The 23,431-nt window shown below is 37.4% G+C and overlaps 1 protein-coding gene across 8 annotated transcripts in view; it reads left to right on the top strand.

The window, feature by feature from the left end:
- The window catches only part of FHIT (fragile histidine triad diadenosine triphosphatase), a 1,504,176-nt gene that overhangs the window by 236,495 nt on the left and 1,244,250 nt on the right, over positions 1–23,431 (top strand). The window lies entirely within an intron of this gene.

Genomic DNA, 23,431 nt, shown 5'->3' with positions numbered 1-23,431 from the left:
AGGATCTTTTAAAATGTCATATATATGGATGTGTGTGTACACATATATATATGTATATGGATGTATGTATAGATATACACATATATACATGCATATATATACATATATATACATATATAAGGATGTGTATACATATATATATATATATATTTTTTTTTTTTTTTTTTTTTTTTTTTTTGAGGCAGAGTCTCGCTCTGTCACCCAGGCTGGAGTGCAGTGGTGCGATCTTGGCTCACTGCAAGCTCCGCCTCCTGGGTTCACGCCATTCTCATGCCTCAGCCTCCCAAGTAGCTGGGACTACAGGTGCCCACCACCACGCCTGGCTAATTTTTTTGTATTTTTAGTAGAGACGGGGTTTCTCCATGTTAGCCAGGATGGTCTCAATCTCCTGACCTCATGATCTGCCCGTCTCGGCCTCCCAAAGTGCTGGGATTGCAGGCATGAGCCACTGCGCCCAGCCGGATGTACGTATATATATTTTTAAGCTTAGGGAGTTGTGAAGTCATGAAAATACAGAGCTACAGATTAATATAGCTCTTGAGCATCATAGCTGCTGTAAATATGTCCCTCCCTCCATCTCTCCTTTCACACCCCAGGCATATATACCTCATACTGTTCTAGGCAGCAAGGAGCAAATAGTGATGCTTGCCAGAGACAAAGGAAAGGAGAGAAGAAATACATGAGTAACAATATGTTTTCTAGTCATAGCCGAAGAATCATGGTATCTCATTGCTGGAAGGGATCTTTAAAGTTATGCATGGTGTTTCCGGCCATTTGTCCTCTTCCAAGGAGAGAACACAAATTCCCACAGCTGGAGTTCTCAGCATCCATAGGGATAGTGGTGCAGCTTGAGTAGGAATCTGGAAAGTCATGCAGAGTGTGGGTATTCTGTCGAAAAATTCATCCCTTCCTGTGATTCTTCTCATCTGCCCTCCTTGCCCCGTCTCTTGCCCCTCCTCAAATAACTGGTTTAAATCAACTTTCTTATTTTACAGATAAGAAAACTGAGGTCCATGGAAAGGTCAAAGGACTTATAAAGATCATTAGACACTGGGAAATATATTTTTCCCTTTGTTTTATTAGGGTATTTCTTGTCTCAGAAAGAAAACTGTGAAAGAAATCAGGCTGGTATTGCTGTTGAGGCAGGGACTATATAAAGCAATAGGTATCTTTGTTTTCAAATGAAATTTAATTCATGTTCTAATCCTATTGTGAATTAGTGATAAAATTTAGCCATCTTCTATTTGAAAGGGCCTTGCTGCTTTAAATTATCCACCTCCTTCTCTGATATCATGATGGCATTTCATCACCTCCTCTTTTTTCTCTCTCCCTTCTTTTCTATTTTCCTTTTTTGCCTTGTTGGACTAGATAACATATTTGTAAAGACACTTAAAAAGGGATTACTCTCAAAAATCTGCTACAGAATCAAAGCAATGCATTTGTATTTTGGACCTAAATAAAATGAAAAGCCTGTAAATAGAATGCAAGGTGAATTTTTATAATTATAGAACCATATTTCAAAAGCACTGGAGAAGATTGTTATTTGAAAGAACGCTGTAATGAGTCTTAGGGTAAAGCAAATAATTAGAATCATATTTGTTTGGAAAGTTTATCATATCCACAATTCAGTGATCTGGAGACCTTAGCTATTCAGAAATCCAATTTCTAAGGGGAGAGTGGATCAAAGAGCAAATCTGAAAGTGGGGCCAGGAAAGCATATCTTCTAATTCCAGAAATAATAACAAGGCAGGAGAAACAAAGCAGAAAGCTCCTTTTTTTCTTCTTTCTTTTTTTGCTCCCTGAACCTTGAAAGACTTCTGGAAAAACTATAGGCTTCCAATTTGTTATAAGTTTAAAGAGTTGCAAAGAATATAATTTCTGGCTTATTATTGACATTTAAAAATTGTTAAATATTTTTTAAGTATATCCGTTTGGAATCTAAATACTATAATGAGTTGAGTCTCACTATTGTCAATTTAACAATATAAAAACAAATTCTTTATTCATTGAAAATTGTGCACCATTCCTTTCTCTATAAGTCATATTTCATTCATTTGTCTCACAGAATTTTATCAATGTAATATGCTTGAAATATTTTATGCATCATCATATAGTCTCAGAACATTAAATTTTTTAAAAAAATTTTGAATTTATAATCCTCTACATTTCAAAAATTACATCTGGATTGAGCTTTTATCACTATTATTAGCACAAGATTGATCAAAACAAAAAATATGTATTTCTTATATTTTTTATATATTAACAATTATTAAATATAAAAGTTAAAATTATTGAAACCTCACCTAATAATGAGATTGTCAGGGCTTTTTTTGATTTTTTAATTCATTCCTATATCAAGTCAAATATTATTTGTTTCAAAACAAAACAGGATTTAGCACAATCCCAATTTTTCAGTTTTCTAGATATAAGCATTGAGAAATCTTTCTCACATACATAAGCAGATGAGATTGGAGGTATTTTTATGTCATTGAATTTTTTAAAACTTCTTGCCAGTTTTATGCCAAAAATCATATAGTAATTTCTCATCAAATTTTTTTTTATGATTCATCCTCTGACAACTCAATTAGTTCTACTTCAATTTTATTGAGAGAAAAACTGTCTTGAAAAAGAATTTGTTGCTCAGTCACTCAAGATATTCAATTTCTCTTTTTCCTGGGAAGTACACCAAAGGCTTACCAAAGCTTCTCAAATGCCCATTAATTATACCTATTCCTCTTTCTCTTAGAGGTGCCATATTGAATCTGATAGACTCAGAGGTGGGAAAACTGAAATATTCCAAATTTCAGTATACCTCTGCAAATATGATTTTTAATTTTTGGACAAGATTCTCTTGCTTAGTACATTCTTTGAGTAGTGTATTTCCTCCAAGCCTTGGAACTGCAGATTTAACTCATTAGCTTTATGAAAAATGTCCACTTTATAGTTTATTTTGAAAAACTTATTTGCTGAATCAATCAGCTAGGTCAGGCCTACTTTCTTTCAACTTGGGTTTTCACATTCAATTAAACTTCCTTGTGGTCCTTCCCATGCCTGTCATTTCACTTCTGAGTTCTCAGTCTGAAATAGATTGGCTGATATGGTGAGGAGGTTTGCAGTGAGTCTGCTCCTGAGAGAAATAAGACACCATCGCCATTGTATTTTTTACAGATTCCCATTTTGCTTTGCTCTCATGGGACTTTTTTCTCAGGAGCAATGTATTCTTTGACAATTGTTTGCAGATGAAAAGGCGAGATCTTTAAACAGAAATTGTCATCCCCATGATACCCTTACTGCAGATACATTTTCAGACATATCAATTTTAGGAAAAAAGTTGAGGATCTTGAAATGTATTCTTTTAAGAATATCTGATTCCATGAACTCCAGTTGGAAGACTTTATACAGTTATAGACTGTATAAAGCAGAAGAATGAAGGTACGTAACAGCCTAAGTTAGGGCCATTTAGTGTGTTGATGATTAGTGTTAATCCCCTTCATATATGTTCTGAGGATTTCAATAACTGATATTCATATTGGTGATCTGGATTCATCAAGAATTTATGAGGGCTGGTTTCTTCCTAAAACAGCATTTTGGATCAATTTTTATGTGAGAGCAAGCTAAAAATGAAAGGTAAATTATTTGATACTGAAAGTGGTAAATCTTTGGAATCTATGTCTTTTGCACCTACGTTTCTACAATGAAATTTGTAACTTGTCATAAATAGGAATCTATTCAGGTTCAACATTGTGGAATTCCACAACCACAGTTATAAAGGATTTGGAAAATTCTCTAAGCTACACAAGAAAACTTTTATAATCTAAAATTAAGAATGAATAAGTAAGTCAGTGCATATAATTTCTCTGGTTTTTCAGTAGCCCATTACTTCAAGATTTCCACCTTGTGGAAAGAAAGGAAACATTCGAAGTTTACCTTAAGTGAAGAGAAATTTCTCATGTTAGAGAATGTGAATTAAAATTATTTTCCAAGAATTTATCTTTTACCTATAATTATAACAACAATATATCATTATGCCATTACTCCTACATATACTGAGAGTTCAATGGAATTATTTAGGTTATATTTTTTCTGACTCTTACTTTCTATAAAACATGGAACAGTCAACTCTTGATATTATCTACTTCTCCTTCCACAATTCTGCTACAATGAGAAATATTTAGGTAAACCTTAGAACCAATTAACTTATTTTGTGTGCAGTTTAGCTGGTGATATAAGAAATATCAGAAGGGACTTTAAATACATTTCTTAAAATATTGGCAGTGTCAATGCTGACAGGACTGAAAGAAAGCTTGTAGTCTAAGGACAAATGTGCAGGCATTTGCACAGTATCTTCCTTGGCCATCAGGTGGAACAGAATATCAAGCCTGATCCCTGTTGGTTGTTTAGTCCAGATTTACCAAGCAGCAGATAAACCCAGATGCTGTGTGGCTGTGCATGTTACTTAACCTTTCTAAACATTAGTTTTGTCATCTGTAAAATGACAATGGTAATAGTACTTATTACATGGGATTGTTGAGTCACATAAATGAATGAATGCATGTAAAGCATTTTGTAAGAGCTTAATATTGTTAGCCATTATGATTATCAGTAGGTCTGCAATAATACCCTAAGTGGAAAATATGGACTAATGGGCTAATATTGGATCAGTTGAGTTAAATGTATTTACAGTTTGATACAAATATAAGATCACCCCAGATCCAATAAATTCAATCAGTTGTTTACCATTTACTTTTTTTTTTTTTGGTAATCAAGTGTAGGAATGCTTTGTCATCAAGTATATTTATAGCATAGACATTTTTGGTAATAATTGAAGATATGCGCAGAGATACCATGCTTCAGGTGATGTGATTATTCTTAGAACATTGAGGCTTGTTGTTATTTACCATCTCTTTCTAGTTTCAAGGTGCCACTTAGGTAGATGAAACTTCTGGCTGTATGAAAGATTGTTAATGTAAATCTTCTGCACTAGTGACTATTAGGGTAGGTCTAAAATATCACCTTGTCATAGAATTCTCTCCAAAATAGAAAAGAAACCTTCAAGCTCTTTTCGTTATTTCCTAAAGGGTATTTGTAACCACAGTAACTATGAAAGGCTACCCAAATATTATATTTCCCATTTTTGTCAAAGATTAGGTTACCTTCATGTTGTAATTTCATTATTTATTTATTAGAAGTTCCATCAGACAGGATATGTATTTTTCTTAATAATACCAAAAAGGAAATGAATTAATCGTTAATCTTGGATAGATGAAATATTTTCAAACATGTACTCCATTCTCAAATCATAATAAAAGGAGTCCTTGGTAGTGAGATTGTTAGGAAGCACTTCTTTGAGTAGGTTGATTTGGGAGCAGTGGGGCAGGAGTAGGCATTATTATTATGTAGTATCTATATAATAACTCTAGTATATGAATTTGATCTGTATTATAGGAATATGATTTTACAGCAACCAGTTAAAAAACAATTTCATTGACTTTCACTAAGGCATCAGTTTAATAACCATTTGGCCAATTGGTCAAATTTGAAGACTCCTATTTCTTAAGATCAAATTTCATATATGGTAGTGGAGGAAAGCACTTTACCGTTTCAGAGAAGAAAACACAAAAACAGGAACTAAGGACGAATTAGGGAACCCAAAAGAAAGAGAACCAGAACATATATCACGTGGCCTTCTGACGCTAAGTGAAGCTCATGCCTGCACCCCTGCTGCTCTTCCTGTTCCTTGTCAGTGTCAGCCGTTGTTTTGAAAGAGACACAATGGGACCCAGTCTATTGCTTCTTAAGCTGGGGCAGAGTTTATGTTTTGTCTGAATGGCTGCCTCCTTATTCTTCAGAGGGCCCAATAAAATATGTTAAATACTACTGGTGAGTAAAATTGCTGAGGGAAGAAACACAATTATTGGGCAATGTTTCTTGGGAGTTTCAGGATAATAAAGCAGAGTTTGGAAATAAGACTGTGTGAACTATCGAGTAGCTGTATCAGTTTGTGGAATTAATTTACTGAGGCGGTTAGCTGCCAGTTTTCCGCACACACACACACACAAAAAGCCCAAATTAGTTCCATTATTTTTTAACATGTGCTAAGTGCCCATAGCATGTTGGTGCCTTCACATGATATCAGAATGCACTATGGAGGGAACTGAACTTGTTATTGGATTTAATTAATCTCTCAAGTTAATTGCCAATGTGGGCCACATTTCTTATGTGAGTAAAATTGGAGTGTGAGAAAAGATAATGTCCCTCCCTCATTAAGCTGTCCACGTTAGATTTACAGGGTGACAGTCAGGCCCACTCAGGCTTAGTTTTGATAGCTTTCATTACTGACATCACAGAGTAAGTGGTGATCTGTCCTTTCATTATTAGACTCAACCCAATAACTGTTGCACAAACACAACCACCTCTATCAGGGAGGCTTCAAAGAGCTGTTTGTAGTTTAATGCTTCGCTTGTCATTTTTTTTTTTCTTCCTAGCCCCAGACTCCTTTTGTTCTCCCAATGCAGGGAGAATTGTAGTGCAGAGCCCTGCCTGACACCTGCCAAGAAGGGCAGCCCTTGCCAACTGCAGCCTTCCCTGGAGCAGGAATCAGTTAGTGACTTCTGCAAATGATGTGACTTTGTAGATCTTAGGAACTTCTTTTCACACAATTACATAACAGGCATGTGATTCCCCTCCATCCCCAACTTGTGCTTATAAAACACTGTGGACAGTACCTTTTAAAATGGCTGAGATATTGATTACCTGCAAAAACTGGAAAACCATTTGTATGCCTGTCTGTTCTGTAATGTTTGCTTCTACAGGGTCTTTGGTTGAATTCCCTAGAACTGGAGATGGGTGTGCAGGTGATTAGTAAGAGAGGGCTCTTGGGAGAAACCAGGAAGGGAGTGAGGGAATTAGTATAAGGAAGTGGAAGAAGCTACCAAGGTTGTGGTTTCAGGTGAAATTAACCTGATCACATGGGGAGTCTTGGGAGCATGAAACATACTACAGGGTCAGTTCTGCCTTGAGACAGGAGTGTAGACTTTTGTACCTTCCCTTCCCACCATTCAGTCTTTAGCTATGGACCCTGGGTGGGGGCCGAATTTAGTGATATATCTCCCCAGAACCTCTGGGTGTTGCTCTGGTCACTCAAGGGCAATTCTTTGGAGAAGATGGGCAGCAACACCTGTAGGGAGGAATGGGACACCAAACTGGTAAAAGGGATCCTACAGAGATCTGAGTGGAACATCAACAGCTTCTGAAGTGTAGGGAACACATTCTGTAGTCGCATAGGGCATTTGCATGCATAAGGGAACCCACGTTTCCTTCAAGTTACACAATTTTGTGTCAGAGTGAGAAAGCATTGTAACTATTGACTCCTGATTTTGTGTTGTGACTCCATCTTTGGTAGGAGATTAAGAACTGGTAGACAGATGAAAATCATATATTATATTTTTTAGGTTTATGGAAGATGAAGTTAGTAGTTCTCAAATAGGTATTCACCTGAGAAAAAGAATATGAAACTTCTTACCTCCACTGAACCTAATGAATTTATTGCTCCTCCATCGATTTCTAGTAAACTGTTGTTAATGCCTGTAAAGGTAATTAAACATGGCAGATGAAAAAACGATTACACTCTCAGGCCAAAGAGGGAGTAAGTTATGCAGAGTGTCTGGGGGCTACAAAATACAGCCTCTTGTTCCATCGAATGACAGGGTCTAACTTTGTGATGTAAACACATTATTGCAAATGTCAGTGCACAGAGAATTGTTTAGACAGACTGCAAAGATGATTACTAAAGAAGAAGCAAAGCAATAAAATACAAAACAACAACATTTCATTGGCCCAGTTATAATTCCAACTTTTTATCTGTTTGGATGAACAATTTCATATAGAGACTTTTCTATGATAAGCTTTTAAAAAATAAGACAGCAAGATGAAAGAGGCAACAATTAATATTAAAATGTTATGCACATTAATGTAAATGATAAAACATTTTATATCTCAAACTGCAAAGAATATATTCTGTGGTTAATTTTTCTTTCACTATTTCCCCTCCTTCTTTCCAATCGAAAGTATCAACAGCTTAATATTATAGATCAAATTATTAAACTTTCTACTATGTAAGTTTTTGAACTTAGCCATGTATATATTTGTATCTAGATAATTTCCGAAGAATGGAGTAAAGATGCTTTATTCATTCTGTATATTTTATTTCAAAAATACTTTTTCAGCAGTAATTCAGCAAACTTAAGGGTTTGTAAAGGTTTTTCTATAAAGAGAAAATGTGTTATGTATATTTTATTTAAAAGTGTGATGCAGTTCTCCAAATGCAGTTAATTGTAAAAAAAAAAAAAAAAGAATATGTTTTCCAAATCAGTGGGGGACTTTTTTGGTGCCTTCTTTTGATTTTTCATACTTTTTTTTCAGAAAGGAAATTTTATACATAAAAGTTGGTAATGTCTCATTACATAAATCTCAAGTGCCAAGTGTCATCCCTAAAATATTTCTCACCTTGGATTCGTGAAATATTTTTAATTTCATGGATAATTTTGCTTTTTAGCATTTGTTATGGTCATTGATGTTGCTGTTTTTATGACAGAATAATTTTTAATAACGTTTTTGTTCAGCTGCGTTCAAATGATAAAAGGAAGAAATTTCCTTAAAAAATACTGCTTGAGGTTACCTTCTGAGTCTTCTTTTGGCATCTTAATGTCAAATCCCATATTTGAGAGCACTAATCCATATTAAAAGAAGGTTCAAAATTGAAATTATACCATTAACCTTGGCCTTTTTCAAGTGAAACTGTTTTACAAGTTCTCTTTGCCATCAGCATGTTTACCAAGCTCTTTATTTTCAAATGTGACTTCAGGCAATTTTTTTTTTTTAAAAACCTTGTTTTAAGCATGGTGGTAACTGCTCTTCCTGCTCCCTACTTACCACCCAAGAGCTGTTTTCCACTGCTGCCTTCCCTTGCCTGCTCTTCCTTCTTTCACCCTCAGATTCTAAACTGTGTAGATGAGTGGAGTGGGTGAGGACACAGCTAGTAAGGAGAGGGGCCATTTCCACTTCTGGGTCCTTTCCTCAAAAGAAGACTTGCTGAGAGCCCAGCCATGTTGGAACTAACCTCCCCGACAGTAAGTGGCTATCTTGACCTAGTGTTCGCTGTGCTCCAGGCTGTTCCAAGTGTTCTAAATGCATTCCTTTCATTCTTCACATCAGCTCTAGGCACCACATATATAATTATTGCGTTTCACACACAGGGAAACCGAAATTCATAGTGGCCCAGCCATGCACCACACAGCCTGCTCTGAAAAAGCTTCTTCTTGGATTGAGGGACCAGGATTAACAAATATTTATCAGTTCCACTACTTCAACTATATACTGAAACCTTATTTAAGGAATTCTTCGTGTCTGTTGCAGAAGTTCTTTGCTCCTAGGTTAAAGTAGGGTGGTTCTTATCATCACTATTACCACCATCATTTGTCACCGCTGCCATAATTATCATTGTCACCATCACCATCACCATCACCAGTACCATCACCATCACCATCACAATCATTATCATCCTGCTCCTCCTCATCATCATATATAGCAGTTACTGACTATCTCTTCTGTGGCAAGCCCTAAGTTAGATGCTTAGCTTTTAGCAAGTTTTTCTCTAATTCCCCTCAACGTGATAAAAATAAAATTATCTAATATGGACAGGTAGCCCATCTACATAAAATAATGGAGAAGTCATTAGCTTAGGAATTTGACAGATCTGAGATCCTAATTATAAGCAATAATTATAGGCAACATATCTGAGCTTCATTTACTCACCTTTCCTAAGAGCTTAATAATTCCTATCACATTCTTTCTAGGGAGAATGAAATAAGATGGGATATATAGCAAATGCTTAGCACTCTGCTGCAATCATACTAGCCACCCAGGAAACATTGGTTCTTCTCCCTCTCTGCTGTACCTCTCATGTGGGGAGAAAATGGTGGGAGGCATAGATAATTGCTATATTGAATTGTATAATGAAAAATATCCCATATTATATATTTAACAACTTACATTTCTCATTTACTTACTATGTTTGAGGTATGTTTGAGTGCATAATGTGCTTTACATCATTTAATTTTCACAGCAGTTCTCTGCGGTTGGCGGCTGATTGATTTTCTTAATACCAGGAATCAGGGATGCTATCCTTTTCCACCTGCTGACCTGTATGCTTCATCAGTGGGTTTTTTTGCCTTCTGGCCAATGGGGGGACCCAAGCAGGAGACTGGAAAATGGAAGGAGAGTGAGGTCAAGGTATTAGTTGCCTTGGATCACTCCCTGTGGGGTCCCTTTGAGCTGGCTATGTTCCTCTATCAAAGCAGATAGCTCTTCTCGAGGTTGACCTCTCCACCAGACTTTCTCTTTCCAAGTTCTGGTCAGTGCTCCTTCCCCTTCTCCCTTTATGTCGTGTGATGATAACAGTTCCAGAGTGTTGAATGTCCCTTATGGTTTTCCTACATACTACCCAAAGTTTTATAAATAGTCCCTTTATTAAACCTTCCTCAAATTATTCTAATTTCAGTGGGCCATCTGTGTCCTGCTCAATTCCTACCAATACAGAAGAGGAGAAACCGGGCAACTTTTTTGAAACTGCATATGTACACTGGGCAAACACTTTATTTGGGGTGGCTTGGGTGGATACTGGTAGAGTTGATTGGGGAGCTAAAGACACTCAGGCCATTTTTGCCATTAACATTAGCAGGATCTATTTTTATCAGTCTCAACAGATATTCAGAACTTTTGTTTCACCATGGACATAATCTGTGCTCACCTTCTTTCACTTGCACAATATTCATGTGGCTCCGATACTAGATTTTGCACTCCTTTAGGGTAGGGATTCTTCTATTCGTCTCGGTGCCCTCAACACAAGTACACCACTGTGCTTAGTAGACACTCAGTACAGTCATTATTTAATAATCTGTCTGCCCACCCCCAAGCATAAGGATGATCTGAAGTAAGTACACAAGTACACTCACAGAGCATGTTTTGCTTCTTGAGGTTAGCTTCCATAAAAAACCAAACTGATGTATTGCTGATGTGTTATATCTGTAAATATTACAGAAATGGACATGCCAGATTTCTCTTCTTTAGCATCTGCTATAAGAGAAAAACTAGGCAGATGCCTGGAAGGCATGGGCAATTGCAACTTTTCAGTAAGATATACTGATCTGGTTTTAATTTGAAATAATAAAGAACATTTTTTCTTCTCTTTGGACTTTTTTACCTATTAAAATTGGTTCCAAAATGTTCTCAAGTACTGGATATTGATATTTCTTACATTGAAAGCTTGATTGCAGATACCCTGGTAATCGTGTTTTACCTTTTAATTAATGATAAGCACTGGAGAACTCAGTACTAGAGCAGTCATAGCTTCAGCTTTTAAGGGGCATAAACACAATGTGGTAGCTAAATGGACATTATAAGTGAATATTAGAATCATCAGAATTCTTTAAATGAAAGCTTTCATCACTAATGTTTCAGTACATTTAAATAAAAGTAGGATAAAAGCTTGGTAGTGCTTGGTCAATTCAGTGGCTGTGTTTTAAAGTCTAATTTGTAAAAGAATAAGAATTCAGTTATCTTTTAAATTAGGATAAATTTCTTAATATTACAAAGGAATAACAGTGTGGCGTGCCCCTTTAGATAGATGGCTTTTCTTTTGCAGATTGCAAATGGCTATCAGTGTGCTGAATTTACAGGCAAATGGTATGGGTCTCAATGGAGAGACACTTTCTGTAGACTGACATAGATTCCTCTTGGGAGAATTTATAGACAATAAATTATTTATATAAAAACCTAAGATTCTTCTCCTGTGCTTTAGTTTTAATTTTATATCACTGCAAAATGCCACAAGTAATCAGAATAGTCTGTGTTTGATAGGCACGAACTACAACAAAAACCCTTTCAGCAGCATTCTTAATTGCACCAGACCTTGAGAAAGGGATTACAACAGAGGTGGGCCAGGGTCAAGAAAGTGTTGAAGTGCAACCCAGGAACTGCCATAGAGTTTGCTAAGCCATTGAAGGGATTCCAGGCAAGCAACTATCAGAAGGGGTATGGAGCAGGAAATTGGGCCGGGAGTAGGAGAGGTTAATGGAGGTGTGGGCATCTGAGATGGGTTTGCAATCCACTTTCCAGTGATAGATGCAGATGCTGGCACATTGCAAAGGAAGAAATACCTAGAATTTTATTACGATTTCTTACCCTGAGCAATCAACGGGCCTAATTAAAAAAAAAAGAAACAAACTTTAATTTTTGTCATAGAAGTAGTGAGTGGAATGGTGGTCACTAGAGGCTGGGGGATAGGGAGAGGGAATGGGGAGATGTTGATCAAAGGGTATAAAGTGGCCAGGTGCAGTGGCTAATGCCTGTGGCTCATGCCTGTGGCTCACAGCACTTTGGGAGGCCGAGGTGGGAGGATCACTTGAGCCCAGGAGTTTGAAACCAGCTAGGGCAACATAGTGAGAACCTGTCTCTACAAAAAGTAAAAGACTGGCCTGGCATGTTGGCACATGCGTGTAGTCCCAGCTACTCGGGAGGCTGAGGTGGGAGAACTGCTTGAACCCAGGAGATTGGGCTGCAGTAAACTGTGCTTGGGCCACTGCACTCCAGCTTGTGTGACAGAGCAAGACCTTGTCTCAAAAATAAAAGCAAAAACCAGGGTACAAATTTGCAGTTAGTCAGGAGGAATAAGTTTTTGAGATCTATTGCACAGCATTGTGACTATAGTAAATAAAAATGTATCACATATTTTAAAATTGCTGAGTATAAATTTCAAATGTCTCACCACAAATAAATTATGAGATGATAGATATGTTAATTACCTTGATTTAATCATTCTACATTGTATGCATATATCAAAACATCACATTGCACCCCCTAAATATATACAAGTATTATTTGTCAATTAAAGTAAATTTTAAAATTTGAAATAACAGTAGATACACAGAAACAAACAAAGAAATGTAGAGGGAGGGCCTGTGTACCCTTTTTCCAGTTTTCCCCAATGTTAATATCTTGCCTAACTAGAGGACAATATAAAAACCAAGAAATTGGCATTAGTACAATGCATATCCATAGAGCTTATTTAGATTGACCAGTTATGCAGGTACTCATTTGTGTGTGTATATGTGTGCATGTGTAGCTCTACGCAATTTTATCATAAGTGTAGCTTCATGAAACCACAACCACTATCAAGATACTTCACTGTCCCATCATCAGAGACTCCCTCATGCTACCCCTGTAGAGTCAACACCTATTCCCTACCCCATTCTGAACAACTAGCCACCACTACTCTATTCTTGATCTCTATGATTATCATATTTCATGAATGCTATATTAAAGTAATCATATAGTATGTATCTTCTTGAGATTGGCTTTAATTTTTACTTAGCATAATTTCCTTGATATTCATCCAGGTGTGTATCAATAGTTCATTCCTTTGTATTGCTAAGAAATATTCCGTGTTATGTTATATCACAGTTTGTTTGACCATTATCCATTGAAGGATATTTGGATAATTTTCATTTCTTGGGTATTACAAATAAAGCTGCTACGAACATTCATGTTTAAATTTCTGTGTGAATATGAGTTTTCGTTTCTCTGTGACAAGTGCCCGAGAGTGCCACTTCTGGGTAATATAGCAAATTTATTTTTTGTTTTAAAATGAACAGCTGAACTATTTTCTAGAATAGCTGTACCATTTTACATTCCCATCAGCAATGTCTGAGTGATCTAGTGTCTCTGCATCCTCACCAGCATTTGATGTTATCACTGCTTTTTTATTTTAGCCATTCTGATAGATATGTAACAATATTTTTGTGGTTTTAAATTGCATTTCTCTTATGGCTAATGATGTCGAATATTTTTTTGTGTGCTTACTACCTGTATATGCTCTTTGGTGAGCTGTCTCTTCATATTTTCTGCCCATTTTCTAACTGTTTATTGTTTTTTTTTTCTGTTGAGCTTTGAGAATTATTTATATACTGTAGATAGTAATTCTTTGTCAGATATATGGTTGGGATGGCCTAGGGCCTCACTGCCCATCGCTGCCCTAGTGGTAGAGTAGGGGCTGGGGCTGGGGCTTCCCCACTAGGTCTCTACTGGACTTCTTTACTGGTCATTTGACCAGAGGGAGCAGGCTCTCCCTGTTGCTGTTTTGGGGTTGCAGCCGTCTCTGGAACCCGGCATAGGGTATATTGGAAATAAAAAGGAAACCCCACGGAACTCACCAGGTTGTTGTCCCTCAAGTGCTAAGGCCCCTAGTCAGTTTCTATCTCCTTTTTTTTCCAGGTTTTAGAGTTCTTTATCACTTCCCGTTGAATAACTTCCAGGGTATTTAGAGGGAAGGAGTAGAGAAAAATGAGTTCACTCTACCTTTTTTCAGAACAAGCCAGCAGATCTGATACCTAAGAAGCCATTTGGTATCAAAGAGCAGCAGGACTGATTTTCCTGGAGATGTTATCTGATGGACAGTAAGAGCATTATATGCTTTGACCTTTTAATGTCTTACCATTGTGTCTCAAATAGCCCTTGTATTATGATGGTTGTCTAAGATTAAAAGCTTAAAGGTGACTGTCCTTACAGCCAGAGCTTAAAAATATTTTATCTAGCCTGGAACAGAAGTGTCGCATGGACTCTGTAATGCACTGCTCAGGTCCTCCTTTAGGAGCTAAGGGCTTATCACCCTACTTGCTGTGGTGCTGCCCATAGACAACCCTCTCCCAAAGGCATACCTCCTTCATGAGGTGGCCTGCTTCCAGTGACTGATCACTGGAGGGTAAAAAGGCCCCTCCCTTCTCACCCTCACTCAGGACATTCCATGCTATGGTCTCAATGTTTGTGTACCCCCAACATTTCTATGTTGAAATCCTAACCCTCAAAGTGGGGCCTTTGGGAGGTGATTAAGTTGTGATGGTTCCACCCTCATGGATGGGATTAGTGCCTATACAAAAGAGGCCCCAGGGAGCTTGCTAGTCCCTCCACTGTGTGAGGACAGACAGAAGCCATCATCTGTGAACCAGAAGTGGGCCCTCACCAGACATCAAATCTGATGGTACCTTGATGGGCTTCCCAGTCTCCAGAACTATCATAAATAAATTTCTGTTGTTTATGATATTTTTTACAACTGCCAGAATGCGCTAAGGCACCCCATCTTCATTATTCCCCACAAGCTACCATTGGGACTTCTCCTTCAGCTCACCTGCTTCCTCCTCTATTTCCCTTTCCTTCTGCAGGTGTTGATCCCTAAAGAATTCCTTTTAAACCTTTCTTCAAGCTAAATGCATGAGGAATCTGTTTCCCAGGACCTTAACCTACCTCAAAAGTGCTTTGCAGATATTCTATCTTTTTCTACATGGAATTGTTCATTGTAAGGAGATCATATACTTCCTATTCCAGAATAATAATGTCTTTTTAAAAAATGTTATGATGACCATACTAGATAGTAATCCTATTTGCTTTCAAAATCTTCACTTTGGAGAATAAAAAGCTGGGATGTTATGCATTTCTCTCCAGTGTTTGAAATCTATAAGCTAAGAACTGTAGCTTGGAATCCTGTTAGATTTCTTGCAACTGTTTGTTTTTATGAAGAGCCATCACCAAACACAGCTGGTTTTGTAGATTATTGTTTCAGAAAGTTTACTCAAATCTGCAGTGATATCTTCTGCAGTTGCTGTTAATATTTAGACCCTGCATGCTAAGTGTATTGTATTCTATTGTATTGTATCCCTAGCATTGTATTCTCCATGTGGCTCTCTAGTCTGAGTTTATTTGTTTAATCAGGAGGTTCAGAACAAAAACATGGCTGTGGCAGTGTCCTTACTCATCTATAAGCTTTTTGCTTGGCTGCCAGCTGATTGCAATGTATAAACAGTAGTTTGCATGTTACTCAGTCATATACATGTCCTGCCAAGAGCTGGTTACTCTTTCACGTATCTCCTTATTTATTTCCCACGGTGTCTCTAAATTACTATGTGGAGATCTCCTGTGCACTTAAAGTCACTCATCTGCCCTCTGCTTGTTCATTTAGACTTCGCTACCTGAATTATGGTGAACCATGAAAAAACTTAAATAAGTCTACCTTCTCTTTTTAAAAAAAGTTACTATGAAGGTGTTATATATTTGACTGTATGCAGTAAATGTGTACCTAAAGACACCAATAAATTGAATGTCTGTAAGCCTAATAAAATGTAAATGCATTAAAAGAGCTTACTATTCCTATGGAGAGTTTGTTCCTAAAGGTAAATGATAAACCTTTAATTCATGTTTAAATCAAGCTTTTAACTCTATTAGGTTCTTTGTGGAAAAAATGTATGTGACAATGAGCCAGATGAATTCTCATATTTCTTTCTGAATGGCACTATGGTTCAAATTAGCTCAATTAGGGGTAGGGAGGGGATTAATAAAAGTAGACTTTAATAAAATTAAGGACATTTGTTTCTCATAGAAGTTACTTGCTGATGACAATCTCTAAGAAAATAATGTAATGTTGACAAACATTTAATGAGAAAGTGCGTCCTCAAAAGCTTTAACCCTACTAGTTTATTAGAAGTCCAAATGAGTACCTATTACAAATATTTACTTAAAATATTTCCTTTATATTACAACATGTAATACCCTTTAAAAAATGTTGCTCTTGAATAACAAGCAAACAAACGAAAGCTCAAAGAAGCTGCTACTCTCTATCCAGAGTATATCCTTGGAAAGTGATGGCTCATCTTACTGGTTATTGTTTCATCATGTGATGTCAGTTGTTAATAGTGTCTTCATAGGTGTTAAAATTATGGGAACTATCTTGAAAGTTGACTTTTTAAAAATGTCAGCATTTGGTGTTGGGGCAAATCCCTTGGTCCTTTTCAGCCTGAGTTTCTTCATCATCAAAATGGCTAAAGTGATATTTATCTCAGAGGTCACATGAGATTTAATTCAGTTGAGAGTGCTTTGTGATCTTTATAGGTATAATCAGATATAGGCTGTTATTTCTGATTTTCTAGATATTTCTTCTGAAAACAAAATTACAATAATATTATTCCTTGGCCTAATGCTTTCCAGGTTTGGAAACCCCTCCATAGATTTCTTTTTGGAGATTTGCAATTGCAGTGCCAGAGAAGGCGTGTTTTGTTTTGTTTTGTCTTTAATCTTTTTTAAGAGAAAACTGAGGCTCCAAGGCATTATGCAATTCACGAATTCATGCTAGGTCATATATTTAATAAGCAGCAGACCAAGGGCTAGTATCAGGCTTTCTGACTGCTAGTTACTTCTTGCAGGTCAGTAATGTAAATACTGTAATACGAGGACAAAGCAGGTAATGGATATGAGTGAGTATAAAACTATAGGGAGTGGTGGGAACACTGGCAAACTAGAGCCAGTTTTGATCCAGAGATGACTAGGAAAAGTGCACCATCCACACCCCCCTCAACACTCCCACCCCACAGCTTCAGCCAGATGTTGCCAAGTAGTCTTTCTGGTCCAGTATGCTAAGATCTTCTGATTTTTTTTTTAAGAGAAGTCAGAAATTTAGATCTTTATGTAAAATATTGACACCTACTAAAAAGAAGAAAAGAAAGAGACAGACAGACAAACACAAACCAGGTAGTACCAGCACTTTACCTTTCTCTGTTGCAGCCTGTGGCTGTGAGGTGCACCTTCTCCCTGGTTTTGGATCCATTAGATGCTGTATGAAGGAGAGGGTAAGGCACCCAAGGGCAGGGATTCTGCCACATGTATTGTTTCATCCCCAAAGTCTAGCCAGGTGCCTAAAATTAGGAAATGCACTAGGAAATGCCTTTCAATAAAGAATAAAGAACAGCAACAACAGACCAAAGAGTTCCCAGAGAAACCTTGGAAACCTGAGTCAGCACACAGGCCTGCAATGTGGAGTTAGTTTTACTCAATAATGCTGAGAAGCCCATTAGAAATATTCAGGGAGTTAATAATTTCTCTTATTGTTTTTCAAATGGAAATTTAGGAGTGGCAAAATGAGGGTGAAATTTTAATTCATTTCTTGAATTACTAAACACTATTGATCACACTAAATACGGCATATGCCAAACATATTTTTATTAAGTTTTCTTCAATGATTTCTGTCTGAATGCTCATAACTTTCAGGCATAGTGGTGTGTGAAAATGATAACTTTATTCAAAGCATTCTCACTTCAAATGCACCCATACTTAAGCAGGAATTCATTTATCTTAAAATGTTTCAGAGGATCTCTTTATTATAAAGGAAAAAAATCGCCATATGACCCTTTGGTTAATGTTGATTATATGTATGTGAGTATGTGGTCGTGGATTCAAACACGTAATTCTAAAATGTTTAGAAATGCTGCATCTACTGTATTATGGACATTACGATTTTTCATGACCAAAGCTTGTTACATTATTTTCCTTTAAACAATCAAATAGAAGCAATAGTATTTAGGTTGAGTCCTCACAGCAACAACAAAATGCCACAATTAAGAACAAAATCATAAGGGTGGATGATAGGAACCTGTATCCTATCTGTGGTTGGTTTGACAAGATAGAGTTATAGATTAATGTAATATTTTATTCCACCTTTAGAACATTTCATCATCCCATTTTAATTAAGATTAAGAGTTAGAGGAGCACATATCTAGAACCGTGTCTTGCACCGCATTTTGCATCCGGGCTTTGGATAACCTGTTGAAAGCAAAACAAAACAATCTACCTCCCACCATCTCGTCACACTCTGACTTCAAGTTCAGCTTCACAGTTAAATAACTTGCCAACTTCGAATTAGCAATAAACAGCAACTCAAGACCTGTAGGGCTTATAAGCAAGTGAGAAGTGGTGCTTGGAATGATTACATTCCTAAGCCCACAATTATCACAGTTCAGAACTAATTTTTATGCCTTAAATAAAACCAAAAGAATCTACACAAAGCACTTCATTTTCTGGGAAGGTTAAATTAAAATTAAAGTGTTCACTGGAAAGTCATCCTCTTTAAAATGCATTTGCTAAGAACCACTTGAGGAAAGAGTAGCTACTGTAATTTTAATTTTTCAGGTGTAAATCCTTTTACTCCTTACAATAGATACAGAGAGGCCACTAGTATTTATTTTTTTAGTGTGATATTTTAAAAATCCTTTTTCCAGACAGTTCTTCCAGGCTTACAGATTGTATACATTTACACAATATGATAATTTATTAACCAAAATGGGTAGTAGCTGAGAGTGCCTGAAATGGAAACAGACAATATTCCAGAGAGACCTAAAGCGGGCAATGGATAATAGCCGGAGTAGCACCTTGGTTTATGTCACGTGTCTCCTGTAAAAAGTCCTTGTGCTTTTGCAGCTCTCTTTGAAACATTCTGCATAACATCCAGGTCACGGTCTGGGGAGAGGGAAAGACCGCTGGGACACCTGTAGTCGCAGCAACTGTGTTCCTACAGCATGAAGAGCTGGGAGGAGGAAGAGGTAAATCTCCCTCTTCATCTTTGGCAGCTCAACTGTTTGGGGGCTTGTGGGAATTTCATCTGAGATCCCCGTTAACTTTCATATGGTAGAAATCTAACAAGTTACCTTGTTGACCTTTGAGGCAGCAGCAGAGTTATTAAACTATTATTATTATTATTATTATTTTGAGACAGAGTCTCGCTCTGTCCCCCAGGCTGGAGTGCAGTGGCACGATCTCGGCTCACTGCAAGCTCCGCCTCCCGGGTTCACGCCATTCTCATGCCTCAGCCTCCCGAGTAGCTGGGACTCAGGCGCCTGCCACCACGCCCGGCTAATTTTTTCTATTTCTTAGTAGAGACAGGGTTTCACCGTGTTAGCCAGGATGGTCTCGATCTCCTGACCTCGTGATCCGCCCGCCTCGGCCTCCCAAAGTGCTGGGATTACAGGCGTGAGCCACCGCGCCTGGCTGGTATTAAACTATTTTCCCGTGGGTTCTCTCTGGAATAATGAGTGCTTTTTAAATTAAACTAAATTTTTTAAAATTTCTAAACATTTAAAAAGCTGGATTTCTAGATTCTCTTAGAAAATTGGAAAACCTGGCAACACTGTACCATTATTATTCCTTCATGGGAACGACTGGCTGGAGCTCAGCTGCAGCTGTGATGTTTCCATGAAGTGTGAGCTGCTTATGTGACACCAGCTCCCTTCCTGGTTTTAGTGTTTTCTCACCTGTGCGGCTTGCTTGCTAGGACACTTGCATCTATCCATCTTTTTATTGGTCTCCAGGCTCAGATTCCCATTGCCCAATGGACATTTTGGTCTCAATGTCCCTTCCGCTCCAGGTTCAACATCTCCGGTGCCAAGATCTTTATTCCCAACCGTGCCCAATGTTGCTTTAAGTACTTGATCGGCATGATCTTATTTAATTCTCTAAAAGGTGAGTATGCTTATCTTCCATTTTACAAATGGAGAAACTGAGGTTAGAGGCAGAATTCTAATCTGAAATGGTTTGATTTCAAAGTCCATTTTCAGTCTCATTTCTGTCTCAGGAGGGTGAAGGACTGTGCATGTTTTTCTTCCTTCTTTCCATTCTTTTTGTAATGTGCTTAGGAAAATTGAAGTATAACTAAATATGTAATACACTTGGTGACTTGATTGCTTCCTCTTCCCCCACGTTCTCCATCCTTTAAGACATGCGTAACTGTTAGGCTTGTAATTACCCATTTCCACAAGGAGAGAATCTTAGCTTTCATAGCAATTCAGAATATCTAGATCATTGTCATCCAAATGAAATACATGTGAGCCACATACATAACTTAAAAAAATGTTTAATAACCACATTAAAAAAGTTCAATGGAAGAAGTAACATAAATTTAAATAGTATATTTTATTTAACCCAATATCTTTAAAATATTATCATTTCGGCATGTACAGCATGTAATTAATATTTGAACATTATTAAAGAATCATATTTTATATTCTTCTTTTGGTAGTAAATCTCTGAAATCCTGTGTGTATTTTATACTCACAGCACATCTCATTTCAGACTACTCACATTTCAGGTGCTCAATAGGCACGTGGCTCATGGCTACTGTCACTGGCAGCCCAGGTGTATATCATTAGCCGTACATACAAAGGGAGAGTAAGATAGAGGGATCAGGTTCCTGTTATAGCCAAGGCATAACTCAGAATTTCTAGGCCCTCGTTCAGACCTCCTCCTACAAACCAATGTTATGAGCCTTGAGATGTGCAAAAAAGAGTTTTGGAATGAATTATTTATTCCTTTTTTTTATGGATGCAGCTGCCTGATGTTTGGTAAGCCAAAGAATTGGTATAATTTTAGTATATCTTTCCTGCTTTTAGTGCAGTTCTAGAGTTTTAATGGAGAGAGTTAGGATATGATTTCATAGGAATATGTTTTATCTCCCTGGGTGGTGTGTATTGCCTTGCAAGCCTGAGGTGAGATCATAAGTCTAAATCAGTTCCCTTCTAGAAGTTACTTTTTGCCTACCATCAGGGACAGTCAGTAAACACACAGAAAGAAGGAGGGTATAACATTGTTGGGTATAGCAGAACTTCACTGAAGAAGCAACTGAAGAACAATGCAGTAAAGTGTGCAATAAAGGTGCTCAAGCCGTTTCAGGCAGTGCCAAGACGGACAGTCTGAATCCGGAATGAAAGCTTGTTCGATGCGCTAGTAACTGTGATTTGTAATACCCAGAGACGAAGACTAAAGGCAATCAATTATGTATGGCCTGTTATTACTTTGTGAAAACTGGTCCTGAATTGTTTTATTATTTGATAGTGTTTTTCCAGGAAAATAAGGTTTCCTTTGCTAACATTTTTCACTGAGATAGATGCAGAAAAACTCTGAACCATTCTAGTGAGCATGTATTTCTAGCTAGTTCACCAATTTGAATTTCAGGTTGTGATGATATGGCCATAAAAATCTGCCCTGGGCACATTTTCGGCTGATCTTAGCTTAAAAGCATTTTTTAATGCCACGCGATGGGACTTAATGACTTTGCATTGTGGGTTGGGTCACTCTATCAGGAAAATGAATCCATTCGGATCCTGTTCTTATGCTGGAAGCCCTCTGAATTTCCTTTATTGAAATGCCAGAAAGTACTTTCTAAATACATGTTCCATACTTCAGTTGTTCCACGGCCTCCTGTTATTATTTTTATTCTTTATAGAGCACACAGGTACTTGAGCTATATTTCTAAAACAAAAAAGAAGTGATCCTGCCCCCTCGAACTTTCATTTAATGCAGACAAATTCAGCACAATTGAAAGGTAAGGCATTAAGCAGGCACTGGCAATCACCAGAGAGGGTTTTGGGAAGTTGGTCATGGTCCCAGTTTAACACACTTCCCCATTGTCCTGCTGCTAAGCCGAGCTTTTTCATCACCTGCCCTGCGGTTCTTTGCCATTGCTGTGGCTGACATTATGTGCAGAGCTGTTTAACTTAGAAACGGGAAGTAGCTTTGGAAATTAACTGGCTCCTAAGTAGTCCTGAGGTCATCGTTTTCCTGAAGAGAGCAGTCACCATTTGTTTATTTATGTAGCTGACTTTCTGATCCCCTGAAATACATATTTTTTTAAATTAAGGTATAACACATACATCAGTAAAAGTTTATAAAGTATGCTAATTTAAGTATATGGTTTGATGATATTTTTACATATGTATATCCATCATGTAACTGCCATCTAGATCAAGTTATAGAGCACTTTTCAGCACCCTGGCAGGCTCCCTTGTGCTCTTTCCAAATGTTTTCCAAATACGGTCCCTTATAATGTTACCACTGCTTTGATATCTACCAACAGCAGTTAGTTTCACCTGTTCTTGAACTTCATCTAAATGGAATTACACAGCATGTAGTCTCTCCTGTCTAGCTTTCCTCAATCAACATATTTGTGAGTTGCATCCATGATATCAAGATTCATGTTCCTGTTGGTGAGCATCTGAATTATTTCCAGTTTTTCCAGAATTCTGTTTTGGTCTAGATTCTACCTAATGTCTTCAGGACATTAAAGAGGTGACATTTGTCCAAGGGCCTGGAGCACAGAGATGCTCTATGCTGATGGAAACCTCCATCCTGTCTCCCATAAGTCTGTATTCTCACCTGAATGATCAGAGTAGTTGCTGAGTGCTTTACCTTATGCTTCTCTTTCTTCTTCCTAATTTTAATAATAATAATAATAATAACAACAACAGCTATTATTATATGTATCAAGTACTAGGCACTAACACTACTCTGTATTATGTGTTATATCTCATTTAATTTTCACCAAGACTCTGGGAAGAGTTATTATTATAGTTTTCACGTGAAGACTTTAGTAAGTTTGATGGAGTCCCTAAGATCACATGGCATATTGATGGCAGAGCAAGGATTCAAACCTAGGTTTTCTGACTAGCACTATGTTCTTAATCACTACCCGTACTGACAAAGACAGGGCCTTGGGATCTGTAAGGGAAAT

The sequence above is a fragment of the Homo sapiens genome, chromosome 3 (assembly GCF_000001405.40).
Source record: "Homo sapiens chromosome 3, GRCh38.p14 Primary Assembly".
Taxonomy (NCBI): Eukaryota; Metazoa; Chordata; class Mammalia; order Primates; family Hominidae; genus Homo; species Homo sapiens.
Note: the sequence above shows the minus strand (reverse complement) of the source record. Positions and strands in the feature narration are given on the sequence as shown.